Below are 17,876 nucleotides of genomic sequence, written 5' to 3'. Positions count from 1 at the left end.
TGACCTTATACTGTTCTTATTTGTTTGCTGTGAGACAATGCTCTTTCTATTTTATCCTGTTTCCTGAATTCTTACTTTTTCACTGTCTAAAGCATGCCCCTGTCCTCAAAAACATGCTTTATTTTCTATCTGAAAATAAAATTAATTCATGCAAAGCAAACAAAACCTGAAAACATCTGTTGATCTAATATTCTCCTCCAAATACATCTCTGTTATCTCATTCTTTTGACTGAAAAGCTCCTTGAAATAATTTACTCTGTTCACAGTTTGTACTCTCTTTTCTTCCATGCTGTTTTAAATCCATTCTAACAAGACTCTTGACTTTGCTACTTCAGCACAATCATTCTCAACCTCCATGTTGCAGAATCCAAAGCCTAATCCTATTCCTCTACTCAACAAAGCATCAACATTTGATACGATTAACAACTCTTTCAAGAAAAAGATTCTTTCTTTGGCTTACGGACATAATATCCTTTTGATTAACTCCATCCTTCATTGGCTCTTCTTTCTGCATGCTGTTTAGTTCCTCCTCGCTTCTCTATGTATTGAATTGTGAGACACCAAGTTTTACACTTTAAATGTATCTTGAGTTGTTGCCAAGGTGATTTCATTCAGTCTCATGGATTGGATAGCTCTCAAATTTTAATCTGCAGCTGCAATGTTATTTTTCCCCTGAATTCCATATTGGCCACTTTAATATCTCCTCCTGGAGGTCTCAAACTCGACATGCTGCAGGTAAATCTCTGTAAAATCTGATTTCTCCCTCAATCTTCTTCAGATGTCTTATCTATCTTTGGAATGATGACTATAGTCCAGATTGCTCATATAAACCATGCAGTCATTTGTCTCTTCTCTCTCATGTTCCACATCCAATCCATTGGAAACTTTTGTCAGCTATACCTTTAAAAACTATTTATAAGTCAACTATTTCCTATCATTTATCTCACTTCCACCGCAGTTCGAACAACTTTCACCCCTTACCTGGGGTATTTTAAGAGCTTTCTTTGGGTCCTAACCTTAGCTTCCTTTGGGCTTTGGGTCTTAATCTTAGACTTCTTGTTATTCACCCAGCTGTCATAATGTTCCTTTTAAAACATAAGTGATACTACATACTACTAAGTCAAATCAAATACTTCCAAATAAATGAAAATATGACACTCATAATGAATGAACCAAGATACAAACCCAGGCACTCACACATATACAAATATCTTGTCGAAAGTTAAAGATAAGGAATGTCTTCTGTTTTCACCTTAGTTCTGGGTAAAGGAAATGAAAATAAAAAAATGTTAATCATCAGAAATTATGTATAAGGTACTTCTTAACTATTGCTTCAGATCATCTTGGTGTCAACAACCCAGTGACAAGCATAAATGCGGAATATTTTCAATAATTTATAATATTTAGTATTTCAATAGAAGCAATACATTGATAAAGTTTATGTTGTTACTAAAAGTTCATTGGAAAGAACTTTGTTAGAATGATGCATTAGAAAAATGTTGTCAAATGGAAGTCTAACATTTAAAAAAAAAGACCCAAAAAAATACATTGGCTACAAATTTAATGCCTCAGAATACATCACTCTTGTTAACAAGTCAGCTTTCATGGAGAGCAATTTACATAGTAAAATTACCATTTTAATGTGTAAAGTATAATGAATTTTGCAGAGGCATCTAGTCACTTTCCACAACCTTCGTCCACAAAAGTTAAAGGGATTTCTCTTCTCTCACCTCCAAGTCCTGGTAACTACCTATAGTTTTGCCTTTTTCAAATGTAATGAGAATGACAAGTAGATACTGTGGACACCTTTGAGTCATTCTTTTCAGGAAGCTTTTGCGTTAATGAGTCAAGTTTATGAGTCAAGCTTATGAGTCATTATTTTCAGGAAGCCACACCTGGCTAATTTTTGCATTTGTTTTTAATAGAGACAGGCTTTCACCATGTTGGCCAGACTGGTCTCGAACTCCTGATCTCAGCTGATCCACCCACGCCAGCCTCCCTAAGTGCTGGGATTACAGGTGTGAGCTACCGTGCCCAGCCCAATTTTGTTTGTGTGTGTGTGTGTGTGTGTGTGTGTGTGAGAACACACATTTTAACTTGTCTTGGGTAAATAGCCAGGTGTGGGATTGTCAAACAAAATACCATGTTCGAGTTTATGGAAACATGCCAAATTGCTTTCCAAACTGGCTATACAACTTTGCATTACCATCAGCAGTTGCTTCACGTCTTCCGCATGTGTTGCCAGGGTATTTTTCCCCGTCATTCTAATAAGTATGTAGTGACATCTTATTGTGGTTTTTATTTGCATTTCACCACAGAGAAATGATGTTGAAAATATTTTCATGTGCCATCTGCATTTTCTTCTTTGGTGGATTTTCTGTTCAGGATTTTGCAAAATTTTATAAAGTTATTTAGATTTTTATTGTTTGAATTTGAGATTTTAATATATGCAGATATATGAGTTAATCAGATGTTCATTTTTTTGAATATATTCACATATTTGTGTCTTATCTTTTCATTTTCTTAATGAACGCTGTATTTAGTGAGTTTTTCAAAGAACATTTTCTTGAAAATTACAATTTATTGGAGGTGGAGCCAAGATGGCCAAATAGGAACAGCTCCGGTCTACAGCTCCCAGCGTGAGCGATGCAGAAGACAGGTGATTTCTGCATTTCCATCTGAGGTACCGGGTTCATCTCACTAGGGAGTGCCAGACAGTGGGTGCAGGACAGTGGGTGCAGCACACCATGCGCGAGCCGAAGCAGGGCGAGGCATTGCCTCACTCGAGAAGCGCAAGGGTATATTGCGGCACTATTCACAACAGCAAAGACTTGGAACCAAGCCAAATGTCCAACAACGATAGACTGGATTAAGAAAATATGGTACATATACACCATGGAATACTATGCAGCCATAAAAAATGATGAGTTCGTGTCCTTTGTAGGGACATGGATGAAACCGGAAACCATCATTCTCAGCAAACTATCCCAAGGACAAAAAGCCAAACACCGCATGTTCTCACTCATAGGTGGGAATTGAACAATGAGAACACATGGACACAGGAAGGGGAACATCACACTCTGGGGACTGTTGTGGGGTAGGGGGAAGGGGGAGGGATAGCACTGGGAGATATACCTAATGCTAAATGACGAGTTAATGGGTGCAGCACACCAACATGGCACATGTATACATATGTAACAAACCTGCACATTGTGCACATGTACACTAAAACTTAAAGTATAATAATAATAAAATAAAAAAAGAAAATTACAATTTATTGGCTTTTTTATGTTTTTTCTTTTGTGTTTTTTTCGAATAATTCTTTGCCAAACAAAAGGTAACAAAAATTTCCTTTATTAGTTTTATATATTTAAACTTTGAGGTTTTATATTTATATCTATGGTTTCCTTTGGGCCATGTTTTATATATGATGAGTGGTAAGAGTCAAGTTTAATTTTCTTTAATATGAATTTACAATGGATCCACCATTTGTCTTAATGCTATCATTTTCTCAATTAATTGTTATGGCTAGTTTGTCCATAAACCCTTGAGCATTTGTGTATTTATCAATTTCTGGGCTCTCATTGGTACCACTGACAATGTATATACTAATACTACGGTGCTATGATTGCTATAGTTTTATAATGACACAAAATCAGATAGTGTGAGTTCTCCTACATTTTTCTTCCTCCTTTTTGAAATTGTTTGGGTTATTTTAGAACAGTTTTTGTTGCATATAACTTTTAGAATCAGCTTATCAAATTATTCAACAATATCGGATTTTTGGTTGGTATTACACTGAATCTAAGTTTCAATTTGGGAGCATGGACACCTCAATGAACAACATTGAGCATTTTATCCATGAGTAAACACAGTATGTTTTCAGTTATCTAGGTCTTTTAAACATTTCTCAAAGCAACATATGTAGAATTCAGCATACAAACATTTCACGTATTTGTTTTCATGTTTATTCATGTTATATAAGTTAGATGTTAAAATCTTCCTTTACTTTCATTCTGATAGAAATATATGTAAATACCGAACTTGTATCCTGTGATACTGCTAGACTGTTTTAATAATTCTATTTTTTTGTATATTATATGGTATTTTCTTCATAATCATAATAAATCTTCATAGATAATAAATCTTCATAGATAATAAATTTGTTTATTTTGCAATTTACATCACTTTTATTTCTTTTACTATTTACTCTAACTATAACCCTAAAGATAGTGTTCAGGAGAAGTTCTGAGAGCATATATCCTTACATTTCTGTTTATTTCTGATCCTTGGGATAAAGCATTCAGTATTCACTGATAAGGGTGATCATAGTTACAGTTTTGTTCAGGTTGAGAAAGTTCCTTCTATTTGTAACTTGCTAAGTGTTCTTTATTTCTTGTTAAAAATGTCATATTTGTTAACTTTTATTATGTGTGTATTGAATGTGTGCAGTGAATTATATTCACTGATTTTTAAATGTTAAACAACCAGTCTTCTTTTCCTAGGATATCCCTCACTTGGTCATAATGAATGTATTATCAAAGCCTGAGATAGTCCTGGGGCTCAGATTATGTAAGTCTCTTCTCCCAGAGAGCATTCTTAGCATTATCTATTTTCTTTTTTATATATTTTATTCCATTTTACGATCCTTTGTGATGGCAGGCCAGTTTTAATCAGTTGCTCTTTCCTGACTAAGGTGGATTTTTTTTTTAAGTTCTATTTCCAAACCAGTCAAACTTCTTATTGTAATTATGTAGTTTATTTAAATATTAAACAAAATAATGGGATATACGCACAGAATGGATTCAGAATTTGTGTAACGTACTTTAAGTTGAAAGTTTCCCAAGACTTCATAAAAGAGATTTGCTAAAATTATGTTCCAATTAAGGAGAACAGTTAGGCAATTATAAAATCTCAGGTAATTTTATAGAATTAGAAGTGTTGCCACGCTTAGTGTTTTGAAAGAATCTTCAAGTTCTTCCCTCACTTAGAATCAATCAATTTTGGGCTTCATAAATAGCTTCATAAATAACTCAGTGTGTTATCTTTACAAGAATGGTGGTGTTAACCCCGAACAGCAACAAATCTGTTCTCAGAGTTAGGTCCATACTCCTACATTGAGAGATTGCAGTTTGATGAATAATTATGCATTTCAATATATTTATACAAACATTTAAAATATATATATCATTATTTTTATTAATTATTTTACATAGTAGCTGTTTTGCTTTAATTAACATTATTATTTTTGATGTTGATTCTATCTGATAAGGAAATTTTTATTATAATTAGATTGCACACCCAGAAAAAGAAAGAATAAACTTATAATCCATTTTGTTAGTAAAGTTCTAAGCAGCATTAAAAATATGATTGTAATTATAAATGCAAAAGACAGCATAAAAGTTCATCACAAGGTAAATCCTATATACTCTATAAAGATAAAAGATAGAAAAGTTCACAGGCGTTATACACAAATAGGCCAAGATAGAAAAAACATGTTAAAACTGAATTATTACAAAAAGTAGAAAATAAATGTTATATTTGGTAGATTTTCTTATATAATTGAGTGGGCCAATTGTGACATTTTCACAAGAATAGAATACATATTTTTCGTTTACTTTATAATCAATACAATTTCTTACATTCTCTCAATGTAATTACTTTCAACTAGAGGTAAATTACTTTGACTTTGTAGTTCTGGTTAACGGAACAAAGTGTTCATTCCTAACAGCAAAGGCACAGCTTTAATTTTAAAGCTTCTAACTCCTGTTACTCTCAGGTAATAATATTAATGATATATATAAGGAATTATTGGAGGATTTATAGGCAACTGGAACAAAATAATGTACTGAAAAGAGTCAAGATTCATTTTAAATAATTCACTTCAATCTAGAATTTGTATGATAACTATGTAATAAATGAGAGCACTTACTGTAAACTGACAAAAGTTGAATAAATATATGGGATAAGTTTTATGTGATGTGTTTCTAAATGCTTTGTAATTTTTGAAATATTTCTACACGTGTTATGCTCCTTCCTATGAAATAACAGACCTTAAACACAGAGTTGGTTTAATATTCTGTTGCATAAAATTCACAGAATGCTTTATTTTAAAACTTTTTATATGGATACAGTAAAGGGATATTTGAGGAGTAATTTATTATATATGATATACACCTTTCATATAAATTATAGCAAATTATTTTGAATACAATATTTGATTTTTTTTACTGATATTTAAATAATATATTTAAAAAAGAGAAAAAGAAGCATATTAGTGGCACCAGCATGTACCAGACATTGTGAGAGTTTTACATATAAATTATTGTTTAAGTAGATTTAATAGTATTATAAAGTAGTTTATAATATGTATTAATTGATTTAGCTCACTTTTTTTTAACTAAAACTTAATATGACTTTCATATACAAGATTTTACAATGGAAAAACTACTCTCATTTCAAATCAAACAAATACACTTAAGTGGATAGTTTGTTTTCATTTGAGCACCTGTTTGCAAAACTTATTGTTACATGTTTATTAAAGAAAATAATGGAAACATATTTGTTAACAAACAAAGCATTAACCAAGCACGTTAAAATGTCCCAGCATCAGCCCACAGTAAGTATTCAAAAGAATGAGAGTAATTTTAGTTCTAAATTTTCCTATAAGGAAATCTTTTCATAGAAATCTAAATCAGACAGACCAAAAATACAATTTATAAACCATCTTTATTCTCATGGGCATTTATGAAACTTAGACAGCTATAAATGTGATTATTTAAGTTCATATTCCCTGTAAATTTTTATTATAGTAGTAGATAAGTCTTTTCATTTTGAGTGAATTTTCATAATGAAAGCAATAAAAGCACATTTTAGGAAAATAATCTGCAATATTATATTAACCTATTTATATATTTGACAAATATTTTTAATACTAATTTTCGAATATGAATAATCAGATTAGAAATCTACCAAATTCCCTAGAAGGCATACACTCATAGACATGATTTAGATTGTTTGGGTGGCACATATTTAAATAATAATGGCTTTGGGCTAAAAGTAAATTAAAGATTTAAGTCATGATATTTAAGAAAAAATTAGTATTTATTTTTTCCATTCAATGTCCATAAGTGGGAAATCTGGAAGAATGGCATATTTTGTTGTTCTGTGTTCTCCAGAGCCCATCATAGTGTTACGCACATATCAGTCTTTCCAAAAGTAATCACTGGATAAAATGTATTGTTTCTCAAGTTATAAAAGATCTTCTACATATTGTAGCATACAGCTTCCACTTGCACTGCAATAGCACTTTCTCTGTATCACTATCTCTAGAGGGGGCACTCTGATGACATGAGTCCCTATTGTATTAATGTTGCATAAAGCACAGATGATTTTTATATAGCATAGTTGGTGCTGGAAAATACATGCATATATTTTGGCTTTGTTTCTATTTTAATATTCAGAAATTATTAAGATGTACATTCTGCTTTTTCCCAGGCTCAGTATTATAAAGTTGACATAGTTACCGTTAATTGTTTCTCAAAAACACAACTTGGCAAGTTAAATAACTCTTATTATAGGCTTACAAATTAAATAATTAATGCACATCAATAAATTGCAAATAATTTATTGAAGTTCTGCTCCTGAAGAGTGCTGAGAATATGATTTATATTTATGTTTGCATGATTTCAATATATTTTATTTACTCTGCTGTCAAAAGAATATGAAAATTGTTTTCTAGAAATGAAGCATAAATATAAAAATTATAATAACAATAATAGAAATAGTGCTTTAAGGTCTTAAGGAATTATCCAATTTTAGCCTTAGCAAAATGCTTGTAAATCCCATGAATAGGTTTACATTTTATAGGTAGAGTGATTGACATTTAAAGGGTAAAATACTGACCCAAGGACACAAGAAATAATATATAGAGACCCATGGGTAGTTTTCAGTTCACAACTACAGAAATATCTCATATCATAAAATACCAGAATGCTGCAAGAAGGCTGTGAGTGGCTATAAAGTGACAGTGAGTTTTCACTCGTAATTGTCTGAAATCACAGCCACATTTTTATACATCATCCTACTTTTAGTAACAGACAGCAGTTATTGAATTTGCACCAGAAATTACTTTAAATTTACTCTAACATTTTGTTTTTCGTAATTCCTGTGGTTGCCCCTGACAGGGCAGGCAGTATCATGAGTCACATGCTCAATAAGGTAAGATTAAATTCTGTTTCCTACAGGACACTGAATGATAGTAGGTATATAGACGAAACTGATATTACCCTGATCCCAAATGCTATGCTTTTAATCATTGTTACAGAATAGTGATTGTACATTAGGGATGTAAAGTAATATTGGGTCATAATGGACAGAGTCTATGTTGAAGCAGAAGGATTTAGCTTCCTGTGCCCAAGTGTGGAATGCATGAAAAGACATTCCAGTCCCAGGGGAAAGCTGCAACAAGGCAGAGGTAGGACAGTGAGAGGTGACAGCTGATAGCAGTCAACTGCTTGCTTGTTCTTTTATTCAAATTCCTCCTCAAGATATGGTTTTTCCAGAATCCTTTCATAGAAAACACAGTTTCTTACTTCACTGGAGTTGCTTTTAACCCTGCCTTTTCAGAAAAAGAGCAGAGATTTGGCCAGGCGCGGTGGCTCACGCCTGTAATCCCAGCACTTTGGGAGACCGAGGCCGGCGGATCACGAGGTCAGGAGATGGAGACCATCTTGTCTAACATGGTGAAACCCCGTCTCTACTAAAAACACAATAAATTAGCCGGGCGTGGTGGCGGGCGCCTGTAGTCCCAGCTACTCGGGAGGCTGAGGCAGGAGAATGGCGTGAACCCGGGAGGCGGAGCTTGTAGTGAGCGGAGATCGCGCCACTGCACTCCAGCCTGGGCGACAGAGCGAGACTCCATCTCAGAAAAAAAAGAGCAGAGAGTTACTTACTCAGGAACAAGTAAGGTTGCTGATACCTATGACTAGAGCTTACAAAATTATTCTTACCCCAGATTTTTAAAAGAGATTGCTTTTGTCTGCTTAAAATTGGGAGATACAGGAATACATAAAATCTTTTATGATATGTAGAATAGAAAATATATATGTATGTAGTGGTAATAGTCAAAAGAAGTAGAATATAACCCTTTGCTGAGATAAATCATTTAAACTGTGTCAATTTCAATTTTTTATAATTTATAAAATAAGCATTTTGACTAATTATTATGTTAGTTTTGAAATAATGTAATAACAAAATAAAGTGATATTTAATGTTAGTTTCTAAAAGAAGTTTTAGCATTTTCATGATAAGTAAACATATATTTAAAGCAAGTAATTTAATTTAATGTATATATTCATTTATCAATATAATATATAATTAATATAATAATATACAAGCATCATATTATCTTTTACTATAAGTAGATAATCAGTTATTAACTATGCCAATATAAATTATATATGAAGGTATTAATATATTACTTTCAAGATGTCATAACTTTTTAACATATATATAATGTAATTCTTGATATCTACAAAGATGTTGCAAAATACAATAATAAACAGATTTTAACACATCTCTGTACTTAAGAATTAGAGTTACAAAAGCATTATCCTAAACATTATCTTATTAGTTTTACAGTATAATATTTACTTTTACGTGTTGTTTTCTATTTTTACAAAATTTTACAATACTTGAATGCAGTCTTCTGACACATTTCTGAGAACAACAATTTGTTTCTAAGATTGCTTCACATGGTGGCTGTGTTGTTATTTATTTTCTGTATGATATAAATGCATCAAAGTTTTGTATCCATTCAGGAGTTGTTGAATATTTTTATTTTCCTATTGTCGTTGTTGCCATTAATTGTACTGATAGTATGTATATTCAAGAGTTTTCCTATAGGTATAAATCAGGGAAATTACATCATCTAGAGCATGAGAATATACAAGTTATTCCTTATGAGTTAACTTTATAGGCCTTTCTTTGTCTATATTCAATCCAGCATTTGGAGAAATCTTGCCAAACTTCTTAGTATTGTGTTAGTCTGGCTTATGTTAAGTGATAACTTATTTTGATTAACCTACTTTTTTTCATACTAATGAGACTGATTTTTTTTCATGTTTATTTTTTATTTATATTATCTCCTATTAACTGTTGGCCATTAATATTTGCCTATTTTTATATTGTGTTGGCTTTTAAAATTGTTTCAATATGTTAAATTATATATTACAGATACAAGTCCTTTGTCAGTTACGTGTGCCACAAATGTGTTCACCCAAATTGTAATTTTTTTCCTCTTCATGATATATTTGGAGAAAATGAGTAAGAAATCATGTTTTAGTGCAATCAAATTTATCAATTCTTCCTTCTTGTTTTAGTGAATTTTGTGTTTTGAAATTGTGCATGTAACTTAAGTGCACATATTAATGCTAACCATTTTTCCCAAAATATGTATGATTTTGCCTTATATACTTGTCTTTAATAATTTAAAACATGTTTTTGTGTAAGTGTAACATAAGATCAATGTCATTATTCTTATTGTTACTACTACTATTATTATTATGTGAATAACAAGTTGTACTATTTATTGATTAACCCGTACGTTCACCATTGATCTGTAATGCCATCATCACCATATATTAAATTTCTATGTATAGTGGGTCTTTGGCTGGGTTCTGTTTTGTGTTTCTGTTCTGTTTGTCTATCCCTGTGACATAGTCGTAGGGTGTTAAGTGTAGTAAGCCTTGATAAATGGTACAGCAACTCTCCTTTTTTTTTTTTTTTTTTTTTTGAGAAGGAGTCTCACTCTGTCACTCAGGCTGCAGTGCAGTGGCGTGAGCTCAGCTCGCTGCAGCCTCCGCCTCCCAGGTTCAAGTGATTCTCCTGCCTCAGCCTCCCCAGTAGTTGGGAGTACAGGCATGCACAAACACACCTGGCTAATTTTTGTATTTTTACTAGAGACGAGGTTGCTCCATGTTGGCCAGGCTGGTCTCGATCTCCTGACCTCAGGTGTTCCTCCTACCTCAGCCTCCCAAAATACTGGGATTACAGGCGTGAGCCACCATGCCCGGCGTGCAATTCTGCTTTATTCCTCTTCTTCATACAAGTCTGAATTATCTTAGTGTTTATAAATATTAGAAGCAGTTTTCAATTGCTATGAACAACTTTCATTGGATTTGTATTAGATTACATTGGAAATACCATCAATCTGGATGGTATGTCCTTATTTGTGACATTTTGTCTCTTTAACCGCAGACGTAATACAGCTCTTAATATCTTTATATCTTTTTTAATGAAATTCAGTAAAGTATTCTGCATATGGGTCTTTCATATACTTTGTTAGATTTATTCATAGGTTCCTTTAATTCTTAGATTTTTCACCATTAAGAATGATGTATGATGCAATTTTTCTTGTCATTTGTTGTTTTATTGGATGGTTTTTAGAATATATGAATATTGCATTTTATTTTTTGTATTTCTTAATATGTTCTTGAGTGATTATGTATATGCTTTATCATCTTTCATTTAATTCACTAACTTGTGAATAACTTTTATTGTATCTTTATGAAAATTTACTTCTTTTCTGTACCTCTTCCGTCTTTTTTTGTTGAGCTAAACAAACATTCCTGGGACAAAACTGATCAAGAATTATCAAGAACAACTCAGTGGAGTGTGTTTACTATTATTTTGTTTAGGCAGTTGACACTTAATATGTGTCGTGAGTGGTAGTGTCTAGTATTGGTTCCAAAGTTTCACAAGCAAAATAAATAAATAAATAAATAAAAATTTTGAAATATTTCCTCTTTCTTATATTTTCTAGGGAAAAAATGTGTAGACTGTAATTACCTGTTACTTTAAGTAAAAAATCTGGGACAAATTTTTTTCTCTCTTTGCAAAAATTAACTTTTTACTGAAAAATTTATTTTCTCTAGTTACTTTAATACAGCACTACTTAGATTTTCTATTTATTTTAGAGCTACTTGACACTTTTTAACCCATCTATTTTCTTACTATCATGAATAACTTCTCTATAAGTATTTATTCCCTTTTTCCCAATATTGTTGTATCTTTTTTACTAGTCTTATTATTAATGTATTGTATGTTGTTACAATTTAAATTTGAATTGCTTCAGAGAATGACAGATACATTAGCAAAGAGAAAGCCAGACAGAGAGATTTAATTTGTTCATTATGTATTCTGAATCTCTAGCTTGGACTTGTAAAATATACCAGACATTTATGTTTTTGTTACATCTCAGAATTAATAAACCCACTGAAAAGATAAAAAGTCTTAGTTTAAGATGTTTTTGAAACTATTGAATATATTTTGATATCTACGAGAGTTACATGTAAATTGCATGTATGAATCTCATGCTAAATTTTGATTTCAATTATTATTTATTTTTCCCCGAGCGTGACTTAACATCACACTCTGCATATATTCTGCCATAAGAAAATGATTCTTTGTGTAAAGAAATTTATTTTTTGTTTTCTTTGAGTTTAGTTAGATTTGAACATTAAACTTTTTTAAAGATTAGGTAATTATTTTTTACCAACTGCTGTGTTTTTCTTAGATTAATGATGAAACCAATTGTTCATCCTGTAGACTCTGACAGCATACAATGAATTCTGACAACTTTCTCCCACTCAAGTTCCTGATAACATGTAATTTCCTTGATATGACAAAATATCATTTTGGCATTCATGTCATGCCATGGTGTTCATTTTTCATTTTCCTGTAAGTTAATGAGTTCTAGCAAAGAGCGCCTTCATAAAGTTGTCGTTTGCCAAAAGTCCAGCTATGGCATATGGAACCAGTGACAAGCTACAGTATTAAAGAGATTTGTTTTAAACCGAGCCTCTAAAGTGTGCATGGAAATACTAAATACATTCCTGTGTATTTTGCAGATAATCCTGATTTGCTGAGCCATGTCACAGTGGGTATTAGAGTTCTGGATGTCAATGACAATCCACCCGAACTTGCCAGGGAATATGATATTATTGTATGTGAAAATTCTAAGCCTGGCCAGGTAAGTTAATTGTTTCCTTCCTCCTCATTTGAATGGAATAAATGCAAGCGCCTTTATTTTTATTATTCTTAGGTATAATCCCCCAAAGCCCACAGTGTAATTTTGTACTCAGTGGAAATAATTTCATAAAGCTTTATTTTAAGTACCAAATAATTTTTGGAGAATCAAAGCAATTGAATTTTCTTTGGATCCGAAATGTAACTCAGAAAAATGAATTCATTCATGAATGCTGCACAAATTATACCAATAAAATGATATTGAATGCTTTATGTCCAACCCTACTTTAAGTGAGGAGGAAATAGCAAACGTTTCTCTCTTAATGAGGTTGATGGACTTGATTGTGTCAGAGGGACTAGCTCTATTTTGGAGGATCTGCAGGAGTGACACAGGAATGATGATTGAGTGATGCTGATGCTAAACGATGATTCAATTTTAGAAACATGAAGAGTATATATGTATTAATAGGGTGGTGAGAGTGAAGATGGATCTGGATCATGGGGCAAGAGGCTGGATGTCATGTGCATCTAGTCAAAGAAGCATGGCAATTTGGAAGGCTGGTTGCCTATAGCAAATAGAGCAAGTAGGAGACTGAAAGGGGTTGTGCATTTGTTTTTCTGCTGTATAAGAAATTATACAAAATCCGCAACTTAAAACAACATGTATTTATTATCTCACAGTTTCTATAGGTCAGAAATTTGTGCATGGCTTAGCTGGGTCTTTGCAAGAGTCTCGCAAGACTATAATCAAGGTGTCTGCTAGGGCTGTTTTCTCGCCCGAGGCTCAGGGATCTCTTCCAAGTTCATAGGGCTGTTGGGAACATTCAGTTTCTTTCTGATACAGACCCGAGAAAGTCAAGACTTTCCTTTACTCCTCAAGGCTGCCCATATCTCTGAGATACCACAAGCAGTTGCTTGCCATTTGGACCTCCCCAATATGTCCAGTTATTTCATCAAGCAAATAAGAGGAGCAAGCCTGCAGGCAAAACAGCCTCATATAATGTAATGTAATCAAGTGAGTCATGCATCAACACATTTGCCATATTCTGTTTTCAGAACCAAGACACAGGTCATACCCACACTGAAGGCAGAGGGATTACAGGAAGGCGTGCATTCCAGGAGCAGCACCTTAAAATCTATCTGCTGTGGATGAATCCAGAAGTGGAAAGGGTATAGGTCAAAATATGCCCTTTCTGAGTCAAAAGTACTCTATTATTGTCTTTAGTGAACCCAAATGAGTATACCTTCCCAAATCATGCCAAGTCATTTTGAAACTTGTGCTGAAATTATACTCCTGAGAAGCATCCTTTTTTGTGTTTATGTATGAGGGACAATTGTGAGGCTTGCTAAAGTAATCATTACCTATTTGTTTTTAGTCCCGTCAGGGAAAAATATATGTCTATCTCAATGTCTGGCTTTGTAACATAAAGCTTTTTTCATGTTCACTGTTGTTAAAATAAAAAACTCTAGACATAATACATTTAAAAGGGCTTATTTAAGCAAAAAATGAGTAACAAATTGGGCTACACTCACAATCAGAAGAAGTTTAAAGAGCTCCATCCAGCAGTGTGAGCAACAGGCTTTCAAAGGCTGAACACAGAAGCCAAGTAGAGAAATTACCTGACCGGGTACAGCTAGGCGTTTGCTTTATTTGGGCATTAGTGACCAGTTGGCTGTCTTGTAATTGCCTGAAACCCAGCTATTTGTTACTAAAATTATATTCCTAAATTAGGTTTCTTTTAGTTGGCATAATGTATTAGTCAGAGTTCTCTAGAGAGACAGAACTAATAGGATAGAAGTATATATGAAAGGGAGTTTATTAAGGAGTATTGACTCACACACCATCACAAGGTGAAGTCCCACAGTAGGCCCTGTGCAAGCTGAGGAGCAAGGAAGCCAGTCTGAGTCCCTAAACCTCAATATTAGGGAAGCCAACAGTGCAGCTTTCAGCCTGTGGCCAAAGGACTGAGATCCCCTGGTAAACCACTGGTGTAAGTCCAAGAATCCAAATCTGAAGAGCATGGAGTCTGATGTTCAAGGTCAGGAAGGATCCAGCACAGGAAAAAGACGAGGGCCGGAAGACTCAGCAAGTCTGCTCTTCCATCTTCTGCCTGTTTTATTCTAGCCTGTCTGGCAGCTGATTAGATGGTGCCCACCCAGATTGAGGGTGGGTCTGCCTCTCCTAGTCCACTGACTCAAATGTTAATCTCCTTTGGTAACACCCTCACAGACACACCAGGAACAATGCTTTGCATCCTTCAGTCCAATCAAGTTGACACTCAATATTAACCATCAAACATATTTAGGTAGCATTTTGTTACACAGAAACTAAAAATGCAATGATAGCCTCAGGCTGATATGGCCTCCTACTTAATTAATTTAACATTTCCCATGAGAAAATTAGAAATATGAATGAGGACACAGTAAAGTTATACTTGAAAGCATTGTGCAGTTTATATAATTTATTCACTTAAAATATTAAGATTATTATTTTATATGCTTAAATATTTTTCTATGCACTGATTTCAAAACCAGTAAATACTTTTATAGTATAAATATATTATTAAATATTCAGCAAATTTTATTTCAATTCTATTAAAAATGGATGCATACATCCTAACATAATGTTCTTGAAATACATTATAAAAGCACAGTTGATGAAAAAATATTAAACATTCTAATGGAAAATTTAAATTTAAGAAAATACAGTATCTCAATTACTGGTAATAACAGCAGCTTAGACATAGTGCAAGAAAAATAAGGGAACTGGAAAGTAAGTCAGAATAAAAAAATCCATGTTGAAGCATGGAAAGAAAAAGAAAATATAAATAAGAGTATGAGAGACATATGGGACATGCAAGTGTAATATAAAAGTTTTTCAATTCTGAGAGGCATATGAGAGAGAATGGGACTGAAATAATATTTAAGATGATTATAGCTGAAAGTTATTCCAAATTGATGGAAATATCAAGCCAAACACTCAAGAAACAAGAGAAACAAAACCACCAAGCATACTGCCTACAAAGGTAAATTTGCCTCAGTGCACTAAAGTAAAATATTAGCAAAAGTAAAAGCAGCAAGAGAAAAAAGATAGGTGATACCACAATCAAAATCACAGGACCTAAGATAAAGCAAAGCATTCTTTGACTTGACCCCAAAAAGCATGATCCATAAAAGGAAACAGTGATAAATTGAATTTCATCAAACTTTAACAGTTTTGCTCTTTGAAAAAGATGCTCTTTGAAAAAGTCTGTTAAGATGATAAAAAAAAGACAAACTACAGACTTTCTACTTATAGTACTATAGTTTCAAAACTCAACAATAAAAACAGAAGATAAAATCCAATTTGAAAATGGGCAAAATACAAGAGCAGACATTTACTGACAAGGACATAGAAAGAGCCAACCAGCATATAAAAAGATATTCCACATATTTTTTAAAAATTATTTCTATTCACATTAGGTAAATAGAAATTAAAACTACAATGTGATATCGCTACAGGCCTAGCATAAGAGCTAAACTTTTTGGTAAATTGTGGAGAAATTAGGTCATTTCTACATCATTGGTGAAAGTGTAAAATGGTACTGCTACTGGGAAACATATTTTGACAGTTTCATAAAAAATTAAATATGCAGCTACCATAAAATTCAGAACTGCATTTTTGGGCATTTCCCACAGAGATATGAAATTTTATGTTTATACAACAAAATGTGCACAATTATTTATAGCAGTTTTATTTATAAAAAACCCAGACTGGAACCAACAAAGACATCCTTCAATAGGTGAATGGTTAAGCAAATTGTGGTGAATTCATAGATAGAGACACAAAAAACCTTCAAAAAATCAATGAATCCAGGAGCTTGTTTTTTTTGAAAAGATCAACAAAATTGAGAGACCACTAGCAAGACTAATAAGGAAGAAAAGAGAGAAGAATCAAATAGACACAATAAAAAATGATAAAGGGGATATCACTACCGATCCCACAGAAATACAAACTACCATCAGAGAATACTATAAACACCTCTTTGCAAATAAACTAGAAAATCTAGAAGAAATGGATACAGTCCTGGACAATATACCCTACCAAGACTAAACCAGGAAGATGTTGAATCGCTGAATAGACCAATAACAGCCTCTGAAATTGAGGCAATAATTAATAGCCTACCAACCAAAAAAAGTCTAGGACCAGACTTATTCACAGCCAAATTCTACCAGAGGTACAAAGAGGAGCTGGTACCATTCCTTCTGAAACTATTCCAATCAATAGAAAAAGAGGGAATCCTCCCAAACTCATTTTATGAGGCCAGCATCATCCTGATACCAAAGCCTGGCAGAGACACAACAAAAATAGAGAATTTTAGACCAATATCCCTGATGAATATCAATGTGAAAATCCTCAATAAAATACTGGCAAACCAAATCCAGCAGCATATCAAAAAGCTTATCCACCAAGATCAAGTTAGCTTCATCCCTGGGATGCAAGGCTGGTTCAACCTACGCAAATCAATAAATGTAATCCATCACATAAACATATCCAAAGACAAAAACCACATAATTATCTCGATAGATGCAGAAAGGCCTTTGACAAAATTCAACAGCCCTTCATGCTAAAAAACTCTCAATAAACTAGGTATTGATGGAATGTATCTCAAAATAATAAGAGCTTTGTATGACAAACCCACAGCCAATATCATACTGAATGGGCAAAAACTAGAAGTATTCCCTTTGAAAACTGGCACAAGACAGGGATGCCCTCTCTCACCACTCCTATTCAACATAGTGTTGGAAGTTCTGGCCAGGGCAATCAGGCAAGAGAAAGAAATAGAGTATTTAATTAGGAAGAGAGG

The 17,876-nt window shown here is 33.1% G+C and overlaps 1 protein-coding gene across 20 annotated transcripts in view, besides 1 other annotated feature; it reads left to right on the top strand.

Moving 5' to 3' along the window:
• Positions 1-17,876, top strand: part of CDH18 (cadherin 18) — a 1,104,418-nt gene that overhangs the window by 1,042,024 nt on the left and 44,518 nt on the right. For all 20 annotated transcript variants that reach the window (XM_005248228.5, NM_001349562.2, NM_001349556.2 and 17 more), the window contains one exon: positions 12,912-13,033. In XM_005248228.5, the coding sequence (XP_005248285.1) occupies positions 12,912-13,033 (122 nt within the window). The remainder of the gene's footprint in view (positions 1-12,911; positions 13,034-17,876) is intronic.
• Positions 1,372-2,571: an enhancer, noted in NCBI's record as "P300/CBP strongly-dependent group 1 enhancer chr5:19531228-19532427 (GRCh37/hg19 assembly coordinates)". NCBI's record gives its function as "activates an origin of replication core promoter dependent on BRD2, BRD4, P300/CBP, MED14 and CDK7 cofactors, with strong dependence on P300/CBP, by STARR-seq in HCT116 cells {active_cell/tissue: HCT116}" and the evidence as "EXISTENCE:reporter gene assay evidence [ECO:0000049][PMID:35650434]".

The sequence above is a fragment of the Homo sapiens genome, chromosome 5, assembly GCF_000001405.40.
Source record: "Homo sapiens chromosome 5, GRCh38.p14 Primary Assembly".
Classification (NCBI taxonomy): Eukaryota; Metazoa; Chordata; class Mammalia; order Primates; family Hominidae; genus Homo; species Homo sapiens.
The sequence above is the reverse complement of the archived record's forward strand: the minus strand, read 5'-3'. Positions and strand labels throughout refer to the sequence as shown.